At 52.5% G+C, this 13788-nt stretch overlaps 1 protein-coding gene across 5 annotated transcripts in view, besides 1 other annotated feature; it reads right to left on the bottom strand.

The window, feature by feature from the left end:
* VAC14 (VAC14 component of PIKFYVE complex) overlaps positions 1–13788 on the bottom strand; it is a 113720-nt gene that overhangs the window by 33796 nt on the left and 66136 nt on the right. For 4 of the 5 annotated variants that reach the window (NM_001351157.2, NM_018052.5, XM_005256038.5 and 1 more), the window contains one exon: positions 10261–10393. In NM_001351157.2, coding sequence (NP_001338086.1) covers positions 10261–10393 — 133 coding nt within the window. Of the gene's footprint in view, positions 1–3728; positions 10126–10260; positions 10394–13788 lie in introns of those variants that run through there. The other variant, XM_047434360.1, reaches the window with a different exon arrangement.
* Positions 5132–5426: an enhancer, noted in NCBI's record as "tiled region #12359; HepG2 Activating non-DNase unmatched - State 2:TssF, and K562 Activating DNase matched - State 5:Enh". NCBI's record gives its function as "activates a minimal TATA promoter and a strong SV40 promoter by Sharpr-MPRA in HepG2 and K562 cells {active_cell/tissue: HepG2 | K562}" and the evidence as "EXISTENCE:reporter gene assay evidence [ECO:0000049][PMID:27701403]".

Consider the following 13788-nt stretch of genomic DNA (forward strand, 5'->3'; position numbering starts at 1 on the left):
AAGGACGTATAGATTGACTTGGTGCTTCACCTCTGCCTGAGTGGGTGGAGTCAGTGGGAGCCATCCTGGGCAGGGATGAGAGCCCTGGGGATGGGGATGGGAGGAAGGGAAGAGGAGAAACAGGAAGCCGAGGAAGAGGAGGAGAAAGAAGAGGAAGAGGAGGAGGTGGGGAAGGAAAAAGGAGGATGAGGACGAGAAAGACGAGGGGGAGGAAGGAAGAGGAAGCAGAGGAGGAGAAGAGAAGGAAGAGGAGGACAAGGATGGCGTCACATCAGGAGAGGTCTCTGTGGGGATTTTCCTCAGGCTAAATAACCCTGGGTAGGATGGCGACCCCATGGGAGGGCCCGGCTTCTCTCTAATGAGGCTGAGCCCCTGGCTGCCAGGTCTGAGGTCCTGTCCTGGTGTGTGGAGATCAGGAGACGTGGCTCTCGTCTCAGCTCTGTCCCCGTCTGCTGCATGGGACAGCCATTGTGCCTCTCTGGGCTGCAGAACACGAACCCTCCAGGCCCCTCCAGCTGCGGATTGCGGGCTGGCGGATCTGGCGCTGCTCTGCAGACAGGGTTAGGTGAATCCCATGGTGCCAGTCCTGGATAGCACGTGTCCTCTGGGCCTGTGTGATGGTGCTCATGGCAGGCGTGTCCCCCCACATCAGTCTCACCATCAGGCCATCACTCTCTCTTTCCCCACAGCACAGGAGCACAGGACCCCAGGCCCGGTGGAGGGCACCTCAGCTCTGGGGTCTTTGGATGGCTATGCAGTACCCTGCAGATCACCTCCCAATGCCACAGTTGAGAACCTAGGACTGGGGACGAGGGCAGATGCTCAGGTGCCACAGGTGCCTTTAAAAGATGGAACAATGACGAGGACAACGGCAAATGACCCAAGGCCCCCACTCTCCTGGGACTCACTGCATCTGAGCCCTGAACTACAGAAAACTCCCTCATCCACTCAGATCCCAAGAGCCGCTTTGGTGGCCATCCCCGCCTGGGCTATGAAGTGGACTTGGCCCATCCAGGACTCTTCCCCGGGCACTGCATGCTCCCTTGCAGGGTGGCGAGTGCCATCTGAGGCGGAATTCTGTGCCATGGGTCCCCCAGGCCAGGCCCCTCCGAGGGCCACATCACCCCTGCTCAGAGACAGGAGCTCTCTCCTTCCCCATGGAAGAGGTGCCTGGTCTGGGCGGCCTTTCACAAACCGCATGCAGCAGAAACCCTTTTGGGTGTGTTTCTGTGACGGGGCCAGGGTTGTGGGGGTTCTGTGATCTTCGTGACTCTGCTAAATCGCAGGCGGAGAGAGAAGGGAGAAGCGCACGGGGCTGTCCAAGGGCAACCCAGGGAAACACGCTGAAAGGACACCGGGACAAGAGAAAGAGCTTCCTGAGAAACGCATTCTACAACGATGGACAAGACACACTCGGTGTTTAAATACGCTGAAGACAAAGGGCACCCACATTTGTCTGTCCTGGCTCAGATGCAGGCAGGGCCCAAGGAGGCAGAGGATGGAAAATGGCTTCTAGGGGCCAGTTCCAAACCTACCACTGTATATGCATTTTTTAATGATACTGACTGACTGCGGTAGCTCATGCCTGTAATCCTAGCACTTTGAGAGGCCAAGACAGGAGGACGGTTTGAGCCCAGGAGTTCAAGACCAGCCTGGGCAACATAGTGAGACCCCATCTCTACAACAAAATAAAAAATGTAGCCAGGTGAGGTGGCTCATGACTGTAATCTCAGCTCTTTGGGAGGCTGGGGTGGGTGGATCACCTGAGGTCAGGAGTTTGAGACCAACCTGGCCAACATGGTGAAACCCCATCTCTACTAAAAATACAAAAATTAGCCAGGCATTACACAGGTGGTACACGCCTGTAATTCCAGCTACTCGGGAGGCTGAGGCATGAGAACTGCTTGAACCCGGGGGGTGGAGGTTGCAGTGAGCTGAGATTGCACCACAGCACTTGATTCTGGGTGACTGAGTGAGACCCTGTCTCAAAAGAAAAAAAAAAAGATTTACCAAGTGCAAGAAAAATGCATAACTGACTTCCTCTTACTCCAAAATAAAAAATAATAGGCATGGTGGTGTGTGCCTATAGTCCCAGCTACTTGAGAGGCTGAGGCAGGAGGTCACAGCGAGGTGAGCCGTGATTGTGCCACTGCACTCCACATAGCCCAGTGACTGGCTATGAAGCCCAGTCACCCTTCATAGCCTGGGTGACTGAGTGAGACCCTGTCTCAAAAAATAAATAAATGATACCACATTATGGTACACATTAGCTACTTGTTAATTAATGAAGCTGCTGGAGTGACCAATGTCAAATCTTTCCAAGTTTCCTGGCATCCTTAGGTGAAGTCTAAATAGTGAGATCCAGAGAATACTGCAGGTCCCATCTAGAAACAACTTCTCAAGCTTCAGAAAGAAATCCATTATCAAGTTCTCAGCCCCTGAAAACTGTTCCTGACCATCACCCTACCAGCCCTGCTGGTTGCCTGAGCTATGGGGCTGGGGGAGGTGATGCTTCTCAGGTGTGCAGACAACAAAGAACGTGCTTTTAGTGAAAGACTGGCAAGGGGCCAGCGTGAACCTGATGAGGGGTCTGACCACGTGTGCCATGTGGTGGCCACCGAGGAGGGGAGCTTTCCCACCAATCTGCTGCCAGGTCCTCCCCTCCATCACAGGGGCTCCTGGAAGTGGGGGTGACCGCTGATTCAGTGGGAGCATGGCTGCTTGGGCTGTGGGGACAGGGGTCACCCTGAAGGACACATGGCCACCTCTTGCCAAGTTCACCTGTGACCTCTAGTCTCCTCCCACCAGCCCTGCTCAAAGCCCAGTGGACCCCGCAAACACCAAGATGCCACCCCTTTGAGGCTCTTGGGCCCCCTAGGCACACTGTGCAGGGCTCCCTCTGGCCAGCATTTCCTCTACTCCCCTCATACCCCAGGTCAGACCTAATTCATCCCAGCCTGGTCTAGCAAGGCCTGCCACATGTGGTATCCATTTTGCAGGAGAAAAGCCATCCCTTGTTACAGGGAGTGCCAGTGTGTATGACACTGTGGGGACTGCTTGGAGGAGGCAGAGCAAGGCCAGGACCACCCCCCACTCCATCTCCAGCCACTTCTGGGTCAACAGGGAACAACCTCCGATGGTTCTGTGAGGTGCAAGGACGCTGGTCATTTTGCCATGGACTAGGGAACAATGGAATGCAGGCTGGGCCAGGCTCTCTGGGCTCCCTGAACTTTGCACCTCACAAGGTCATCTTTTCACCTGGGAAGGCAGCACTCTTTTTCTCCCAACAGTCTTTTCTGTGTGTCAGACTGGGCCTCTTGGGCCTCCTGGGTCCCCCTGCCATTCCCATTGCGAAGGGGTCTCTAATTAGGAGATGAGAAGCCGGGAGCCGGTTGTGTAAAGCGGCTCCTGCTGCACACACTCCTCTGCGTCCCTTGCATGGCGACAAAAACACTTCAGCCCTGGCCCCTGGGCGGGGAACGGCTGTGGAAAGCTCCAGAAGATTCACACAAGGAGCTGGACAGACAACTCAAGCCAGCAAGAAGAGAAGCTTCTGCTGAGAGGGAAGCAGGAAGCTCTGTGGAAGAATTCCTCCTGCCTGTTCAATGTCCTGTCTCCCTCCCCTCAGCTGGGGGCCCAATCGATACGGCTACGGACTTATGAAAGATCAAAACCCATCTGCATTCTGGGTAGGTGGATCGGGGCCTCTTCTAGCAAACAGACTTAGGTTGGTGCACATTTGCCACAGCAATTTATTTTTATCCTGAACAAATGAACGCAATCCATTAAAAGGGTGAGAGGAAGAGTGGGGCCGCCTAGAAGCTCTAGCTTGTGAGCTGGGGCCAGAGGCAAACAGGGATCTGGTCTGGCCACTTCACTCTAATTCGCCATCCATTAGCACCAGCACAATGGGCTTCTGGGGGCCCGGCCAATGCCTCCAGGCAGGTGAGGGGGCACCGCACAAAGACTCACAGAGTGAGGAGGGGGTCCCGATGCCAAATGGACTCGAGATTCGGCAGCTGCAGGGGATGACAGAGCCTGATGTGGGAGCTGGGCTTGGGAGGGGCGCCAGTGGTGCAGACGGCCGGTGGCCTTGGACACCTTGGTGATTTGGCCCCAGCCAAGGGCCCTGTCCACAGGGCAGAATGCACGAGGCCAGCAAAGTGGAATTTCCCAATTACGGCATGAAAGAGAGTTTCTTCTCAGGCCCTTCCCCCAGGCCCCACAATTAAAAACAAGTCCAGTTTCTAGCGGCTGCCCGGCCCCCCACCCCCTCAGTGACCAATCAGCTCCCCACTCCACCTATTCCCCCTCTTCCCAACACAAGGGCTCTTATGCAAACCCAGGACACTGGGGAGGGGCAGTAGCAGAGGCACATATTAGGGACTGAGCATTTGCTCAGCTGGACAGGCTGCCACGCCTGTCTGTAGCAGAGGTGAGAGGAGGCCCAGAATGAACCGGAAGCCTTGCTGCTGGGCTTCTCTGGGTCAGGATCTCGTGAAAGAAGTCCCATGACTGCTTCCTCCTTTCCCTTGTGGGCCCCATCCTCTCCAAATGCCCGCCTCATCTTAGGAGTGCCCTGTTCTCCTGGGAGGTGGCTCGGACCTCATCTACCATTAACTGGGCCGGTTCGGATCAGGCCCTGGCATTCACCGCATACAGTGGCTCATTACAGATGCAAGCATTCTCCACCAGTCCTCTCTGCAAGGCGGCAGGGAGGAAGAGGAGGGGAAAAATGCACAGTCGCTGAAGCCAAAGCGCGGCTGGCCGGAGGGCCGTGTTGGCAGGCAGAGCGACTGTCTTCAGACTTGCTCGCTTCCCAGCACAGAAGCAGGCCTTGTAAAGATCACAGCTGTCGGGTCACGCTGGAGTTCATATCACAGTTTATCAAAGAGGCTGGGTTTTCTCCCTCCTCTCCTTTCTACTGAGGATAAGTGGATGGTTCACGGGGAGACAAGGCCTGGGCTTGTTCTGCCTGCATTAGCATGGAGGGTGGGAAGAGGCCGGGGGAAGGCAACGCACACCAACACCTACTCCGGGCAGAGTTGTTTTAGCGGAGCCGGGCCGGGCCGCTGGTGGGTGCCCTGGGCACTGGGGCAACAGGGCCGGTGCACTGGAGCCAGCTCTCGGCACGGAAGGTGCCATGATTTCATCCCCTCAGGGGTGTGGTTCCCCCTCCACAGACCACCCTGGGAAGCACAAGCCCTGTGGGGAGGCTGAACAACAGCCCCGCTTTATCAGACACAGCCAGCACTGGGGCTGAGACATGCGCCATTTATATAACCCCACCACACTATGACACGGCAGGCACTATCATCGCTGCGTCACAGACAAAGCAGAAAGGCCTTGGAAACAGGTCACACAGTTAAAAATGGGAGGAATTGGGGTTTGAGCCCCAAATGAGTGCCTCGGGAGGCTCATCTGCCTTAGTCCTGCAAAGTCCCGTGGAGGGAGTGGGGGTACAGCACCCCACCGCACATGTCGCCATCTTCGCTCTATCTGTGAGCTTGGCCTCAACTCCCTGCTGCTAAGGAAAGGGCCTGGAGCCAGAGTAGCTGGCTAAAAAATGAAGGTTTTAAAGCCACTGGCTTCACCTTGACATGCATCTCAACCGTTATGTCCACCAGAAAAGGAGGCTGTGTGGACACCGACAGGAAGTCCAACCCACTCAAGCCTGGCTGGAGCTTGGGTACCCCGTTCTCACCCCCACTGACTCCGACATGGAGGTGCGGCCTGGGAAAGCTGCCTGGGGAAGAGGAAACGCTCCCAGGGTCTTTAGGGAAATCATGCATCTTCCTCAATGCCAAGAACCCCCACCAGATGTGTGTCTTCAAGAACTCCCGATGCCTCTGTCTTTCTATAGCAGCCGCTCCAGGTCCCAGAGCTAAACACACTCCTGCCAAAAGAACAGCTTTTCACTTGCTGGCCAGAAGAATCTCTTTCCTTTCTTTCTCAGTGTGCAATCTTGGAGGCTGAGAAGAACAATTTAGAGTTTGCCTAACAGCTAAAGAGGGGGTTAAGAAATCATTGTGCTCCTCATCAGGCCTGTGGCTTCATGCCAGCATCTGCGGAACCATCGCGATGCCTCTCTTTATTTATTTATTTATTTTTATTTATTTTTTTGAGACGAAGTCTTGCTCTGTCGCGCAGGCTGGAGTGCAGTGGTGTGATCTTGGCTCACTGCAACCTCCGCCTCCTGGGTTCAAGCGATCCTCCTGCCTCAGTCTACCGAGTAGCTGGGATTATAGGCATGTGCCACCATGCCTGGCTAATTTTTATATTTTTAGTAGAAACGGGGTTTCGCTATGTTGGCCAGGCTGGTCTTGAACTCCTGACCTCGTGATCCGCACACCTCGGCCTCCCAAAGTGCTGGGATTACAGGCATGAGCCACTGCACCCAGCCAACGATGCCCCTCTTTAAAGTCATCGCAGGAGAAAAGGAAGTGCAATGGAGAAGCAGGAGGGCAGGTGGATACCCCCCTCCACCTCAACAAAGCTCTTTGGAACGGCCTCAGCCCCCCACAGGAGCATGGGGAGGATGGAGGAAGCCACATGTTTGCAGGGCCTTTTCCATGTCAGATGCTGTGTGTGCCCCCAGACTGGGTGGCTGGGCCTGCAACCCTGGAGCTGGTTGACAATGGCTTGGTGTGCTGGCAGAGTGGGCAGCAGGTTCCCGAACCAGCTGGGCCAGGTGGCTGTCCGCCAGGATGCACATTGACAGGTGTGGGTGCTGCTTTTGGGGGACAGCAGTCTGGAGAAACCGGGTGAAGGACTAGGAGAGACCCAGTCCTCTGTGAAAGGCCCAGCCACAAGGTTCCTTCTGTCCCAGCCCACTGGGCTTCTAGTGGGGATGCCAATGGCTAAGAGACCTTCTGTGGCTGTGCGGGTGGGAGTGAGGCCTGGAGGCCAGCCTCAATTTCCACTGAGAACCCAGTGTGGCCCATGGCAGGTTTGAGCCCCAGAAGAGCAAGCGATCGCCATACTGAGCCCCTGGAGGGTGGGAAGGGAGGACCCACTGGCCCAGCTCCTGAGCACGCTGAGGAGCTGGGCCTCAGGTGGTCCTGGCACGCAGGATGTTCAGGGCCTCTCACGGCACCAGGCTCTGCACTCCCACACAGAAGGGACAAAGTGGCGGCTGCTGAATTAGCAGAGTGCAGGAGTTTGCAGCCCAGCTCCTGCCCAGCCCAGTGGGCACGTTACTTCCTCTTATTTTCCCTTCTGCAAAATGACGATTCCCGTGAGCCCAGGAAGCCCAGGAGATGCACTGCAAAGCAAGCAAAGCCTCCCTGGCCTGGAGTCTGCACCTGGGAACATGGCAGTGGGCTGGCCTCCAGCTTCACAGAGCCTCAGGCCCTGAGCGGGTGGGGAGGGCATGCAAGCATGCCCATGGGGCCTGCACTTCTGCTCCATGCAGCCTGGAGATGCTGGTTACTACCCCAAACTCCTTCTCGCCATGCGTCTTGGTCATGTGGGGCTGAGACAGGGTGGAAAACCCACCTCAGCCCAGTTCTCCAGAGGGGACTCTAGCTATAGATTCCTCCTCCAAAGGCCTCTCCTTCCACTGACTCCCTGAAAGTCGTCCAGGCAAGGAGAGCTCATCATGAGTACTGATGCCTCTGCAATTTGGAAAACCACATGATGTTAACTGTCACTCTTGTGGGAACATTCCGCTGCTTTCCTGGTGGGGGGGCCTCTTGCACCATAGCTAACCTCTACCTCAATTCCCTACCTGAAACTGGCCAACGTGATGGGAAGAAACACCATGGAAATCTTCCTCTTTTGGCCAATGAAGGTTAAGAATCCATTTCTGTCTCTCTGACACGGTGGTTCTCAACTGGGGTGATTCTCCTCCCTAGGGGACCTCTGGCAATGTTTAGAGACATTTCAGACGGTCCCAACTGGGTGAATGCAAGTGCTACTGGCATTCAGGGGGCAGAGGCCTGGGATGCTGCTGACATCCTACAGGGCGCAGGACAGCTGCCATCCCGAAGAGCTATCCGGCTCCAATGCCAACGGCGCTGAGTTCGAGAAGCCCTGCTCTAGAAGAGCCCAGAGAAGCAAGAGGGTGGTGACAGCCTCCCCACTATCACAGGGGCATCCTTTTGGTGGCCAGACCATCAGAAGCCCTGTCCCCCACTGTGGTCCTGCTCTTTGTCTTTCTGGTCAGGCAGGCCTGTCCTCTCCCACAACTCAATTCTGCGGCCCCATCCCCAGGGTGCCCTCAACTCCACCTCAGCTCCTGAGCTGGCCGGTCACCTCCTGTACGCTCCACTCCCTCAACTCCCCCAGCAGCATTCAGGCTCCTGCAGCGGCTCGCAGCAGACCATCCCCGGGTCTCACCTCCCTCACTGCCTCCTGCCATCTCCCTGCTTGGCCGCTTCCTTTACCTCTCTGGCCCTTCGTCATAGCCTCCTTTTCTGGCTTCTCCTTCTTTCCCCAACCATTACAGTCTGGAACACGTAGGGTTCAGCCTCAGACCCCTTCCCTCTCACTCGACCTCTTCTTAAGAACTCCCTAAGAATGAAAGCTCCACAAGTGCAGAACCATCTAGAATGGTCCCTTGCACAGAGTTAGTGTTCAGTAAACATCTGTTGAATGAATGAATGAATGAATGACTATGCCATCAATTTCGAGATTGTATCTTGGGCCTCGGTACCCCCTTGGAGAGCCTGGTACAGCAAACTACTTCTTCAATACCTTCTTTTTGATGCCCCCAAAGTAATTCAAACTCAAACATGCACCCCCTCCTCACTCCCTGCCACTCTTCCGGGGCTCCCACCTCGGGGACTGGCATCACCATCCACCCGCTGCCCAAACCAGAGGCCTGGACACCCTGACACTCCCAGCTCCCTCTCCCCTCACTCTCTCCACATCAGTCACCAGACAAATCTACTTCCTACTCAGTCTCGAATCCTCATTCTCGAATCCGGCTGCAGCTTCCCATCCCCCTCACAAGCTGCCACAGTCTCTGCTTGGACAACAGCCTCCCAGCTGGCTCCACCTCAGCCCCTCCAACCCATTCGCCCCAGCAACAGTTGTCTTTCAAGCCAGAAATCCAGTCACGTTGATCCCCTGCTCAAGCCCTGTCAGTGCCTCCGTGCTGACCCCTGAGTAAGGTCTCTGATCCTCACTGTGGCCCACAGGCTGAAGCTGCTTATTAGTTTACAGCAAGATGAGCTCCCCAGGCTCCTTCTTGCCTTGAAGCCCCATACAGCCTAGGCCCCTGCCGGGACTCCTTCAACTCCTGACCCCCAGACCATGGTAGTCGGTAGTCTACTCAGTCCCCAAGCACCCCAGACCACTTTAATAACCCCATCACCCCAGGGGTTCCGATTTCACTCATCAGAGGGAGGCCCAGGCTTTTTTTTTTTTTTTTTTTTGGAGACAGAGTCTTGCTCTTTCGCCCAGGCTGGAGTGCAGTGGTGTGATCTCGGCTCACTGCAACGTCCACCTCCCGGGTTCAGGCGATTTGTGTGTCTCAGCCTCTTGAGTAGCTGGGATTACAGGCATGTACCACCACACCTGGCTAATTTTGTATACGGCATCTTTTTTTAAAGCCTCTCCAGTGATCTAACCTGCAGGGCTGAGAACCACGGCTGGACAGCACCTAGGGCCATACGGACTACTCTAGAAATCTCCTCCACCTGGCTTTGGTGTAGAAGCTGGAGGAATTTGTGCCCTGCTCTAGCTTTCACCAGGTTGAGGGTGACACTGGGCCACTCTTCTGCTACTTCTTGGAGCTGAGTTGGAGGCAAAAGACCAGCCCCAGCCATGCTGCTGGTGATGACAGTTCTAGATGCCTCCAGCCTCTGGGGCTGGTGCCCTGGCACCATCCTGGGCTGGGCTCACATGACTCAGGAGCCTGGCTCCACCAAGCCTGGCTAAATCCCGCACTGGGGGCTGGGCCTGGAGCACAGCCCCATGTCCCACGCCATCTGGCTCACCTCCTTTCCTCTCCAAAAGCCTGACAATGGCATTGAATAAGAGGCTGTTCCACCTCAGGGGAAGATAGTAACTCAGGAAGCAAAAAATGAATTCAGTTGTGCGGAAAAACATCAACACTGACCTGTCTGTTTCATGTCAGAAGCATCAGCAACCAGTATGAAGGGGCAACCTTCTTCATTTCTTACAGATCCAAAGGTCAGGAAAAGGAGGAGAGAGAAGGGAAAGAGAAGGTGGCTGCTTTGACACTTGAATGGCGTGAAAGTGAAAAGCCGGGGCCGTGGGAGGAAGAGGAGAAAGCGCGCCGCCAAGGCTGACCTGATGATGAAAGGGCCTCTGACCTCCAGGAGCTTCCGTTCGCTGCTGAATCTCTTGAGAAGGTTGATCATGAACTTATAAAAGTAAGAATTCATGGTGGGAGTTGAAGGAGAACATTCTAAGCCTTTGGTACCTGTAGAGAAAGGGATAGAGCCAGCATTTATTCTGATTATGTGTCCACAGGGTGATGAGATCCACACAGAATATAAACAACTATAAATGCCAAAAAGATGTGTGTGGGGGGTGTTATAACAAGATGAGGGAAAATCTCTAATCAAGAGCCATGGAGCAACAGAGAAAAAGGCAAGTCTGCACAAGCAAATACAACTTGGCTTACTGCAAAAATGCCCACTAGTTAAAGTCCTACTCGTAACTTGAAAAAAAAAAATCCCATTACTGTCCACCCTTTCATCCAAGCCTAAACCACTTAGTGAACATCTCATGTGTATAAGACCCTGCTAGGTGCCATGATTTTTTTAAAAAAACAAACTCTACTCATTATCCCAGTAAACGAAATACACTCAAGATCTATTTGGGCCATTAAGGACAAACAAGAAGTCAAAGAGAATAAATGGGTAAGGTACTTGTGTCAGTGAGTCAAGTCATTGTGGCTCAATGGTCAACAAAACTGATGGACCCACAAGAGGCAAAAGCCAAGCTCCTTTCCTAATCTGACCTGAGGAAAAGGAATGATGCGCACAGCCACTCGATTACGGACAGCAGACACCGACAAATGTTACAAAGTGTTTTAAACTTTACTTTTGAAATCAAAAGTTCTTTCTTCCTCATCCTCAGGCAAAGATGCTCTTTTAGGATAGAACTCTGAAAACTTTCAAAGCCTGAGGTGACTTTCTAACCAGGAGCACAAATGTCTCTGACGCGTGTCCCAGCTAGAAAACACACCGAGGTACAGATACCACCATCCCTTCCAGACCTCCCTTGCACACACGCCCCTTGGTAAAGTACCCAGCACCAAGGGGACAAGGGAAAGGCTGATGGAATACTTGGATGGTCTGGGGTAGCGTATCTGTATGCCCGTTGGTATCTTCCCTGGACATCCCTTCTAATATATGCCAACCTCCACAGCTCTGTGAAAGGAGTTACCAAGGGATGGAAGAGATCCTCACTCACTGTGCCTGAGGCAGGAATTTTTTTTTTTTTTTTTAAAGACTGAGTCTTGGTTTGTTGCCCAGGCTGGAGTGCAGTGGTGTGATCTTGGCTCACTGCAACCTCTGCCTCCTGGATTCAAGCTATCCTCTTGTCCCAGCCTCTTGAGTGCTGAGATTACAGGCATGCGCCACCACGCCCAGTTAATTTTTGTAATTTTTTTTTTTAGTAGAGGTGGGGTTTCACCATGTTGGCCAAGCTGGTCTCGAACTCCTGACCTCAGGTGATCCACCTGCCTTGGCCTCCCAAAGTGCTGGGATTACAGGTGTGAGCCACCACACCCGGCCCAAGGCAGGACATCTTTAAAAAGAAAACAGCTTTATTGAGATATCATCCATATACCATAAGGTTAATCCTTTTAAAGTGTGCAATTCAGTAGTTTTCAGGACATTCACAAAGTTGTGCAGCCATCACCACTAATTTCAGAACATTTTTATCAACTCCCAAAAGGAACCCCATACTGATTAGCAGTCATTCACCATTCTCACTTCCATGGCCCCTAGCGATCACTCATCTACCTTCCGTCTCTATGGATTTGCCTATTCTGGATGTTTCCTATAAATAGAACTAAGCAGTAGGTGGCTTTTTTCACTCAGCACGTTTTCAAGGTTCATCTATGTTGTAGTATGTATCAGTTCTGTACTCATTTTTAGGGTTGAATAATATTCCACTTTATATTCCAAAATATGGAATACGGCTATTCTATATTTTGTTTGTCCATTCATCAGCTGGTATTTTCTCCCATTCTGTTGATTTTTTTTTTTTGAGACAGGGTGATACTATAGTTTGATTATTTGTCCCCACCCAAATCTCATGTTGAAATTTAATTGCTAGTGTTGGAAGTGGGGCCTGGTGGGAGGTTACTGGATGATGGGGGTGGATTTCTCATGAATGGGTTAGCACCATCCCCTTAGTGTTACTTTGAGACAGCAAGTTCTGCTGAGATCTGGCTGTTTAAAAGCGTGGGGCACCTTCCTCTTACTCTCTTGCTCCTGCTTTGGCCTCCTCTGCCTGCTGCCCCTTTGCCTTCCACTATGATTGTAAACTTCCTGAGGCCGCCTCAGGAACCAAGCAGATGCTAACACCATGCTTTCTATAAAGCCTGCAGAACTGTAAGCCAATTAAATCTCTTTATAAATTACCTACTCTCAATCAGGTCTTTTTGTTTTTGTTTTTGTTTTTGAGACAGAGTCTTGCTTTGTCTCCCAGGCTTGAGTACAATGGCACGGTCTTGGCTCACTGCAACCTCCGCCCGGGTTCAAGCAATTCTCCTGCATCAGCCTCCCAAGTAGCTGGGACTACAGGCGTGTGCCACCAGACCTGACTAATTTTTTCTATTTTTAGTAGAGGTGGGGTTTCACCATGTTAGCCAGGATGGTCTCAATCTCCTGATCTCGTGATCTGCCTGCCTTGGCCTCCCAAAGTGCTGGGATTACAAGTGTGAGCCACTGCGCCCAGCCATGTATTTTTTTATAGTAATGCAAGAACAGCCTAATAAACAGTGTCTTGCTCTGTTGCCCAGGCTGTAGTGCACTGAAGTGATTACAGTTCACTGCAGCCTCAAACTCCTGGGCTCGAGCAATCCTCCCGCCTCAGCCTCTCAAGTAGCTAGGACTACAGGCTTGTGCCATCACACCCAGCTAAATTTTTTCTTTGAGATGGGGTCTCCCTATGTTGCCCAGGCTAGTCTCAAACTCCTGGGCCCAAGGGACCCTTCTGCCTTGGCCTCCCAAAGTGTTGGGATTATAGGTATTAGCCACTGTGCCCAGCCTCTTTTTATTAAAAAAATTTTTTTGAAGCACAAAATTTTTAACTCTGATTAAGCCCAATGTGTCTATTTTTTCTTTGGTTGCTTGTGCCTTTGGTGTCATAGCTATGAAATTACCTAATCTAAGGTCATAAAGATTTGCTGATGTATTTTAGGTCTCTGGTCTATTTTGAGTTACTTTTTATATACAGTGTGAGGAAAGGGTCTAAATCCTTTTGCATATGGATATCTAATTGTTCCAGTATAACATGATATCTTAATAGCCAATTCATAGCTACCATTTATTGAGCACCTACTATGTGCTTGACCTGCCTAAACCCTTCACACATAGTATCTAACACCCTAAAAACCAACCAACAAAGAAACAAAAAAAAAAAACACTTGAAAAATATGCACCATTACCATTCCCATTATATACACAGAGGAGCTGTGAATTTGGGTAAGGATTATCCAAAGTCACATAGCTGGCGAGTGCTAGAGTTGCTGACCCAGGCAGCTGGTCTTCAGAGCCCATGTCCTTTGCAGCTCTGCCAGGCTGCCTGTCTCTTCGGCACTAATGTTCGGACATGTTTGGGGCTCACAGATTAGGAGGT

Source organism: Homo sapiens, chromosome 16 (genome assembly GCF_000001405.40).
Source record: "Homo sapiens chromosome 16, GRCh38.p14 Primary Assembly".
Classification (NCBI taxonomy): Eukaryota; Metazoa; Chordata; class Mammalia; order Primates; family Hominidae; genus Homo; species Homo sapiens.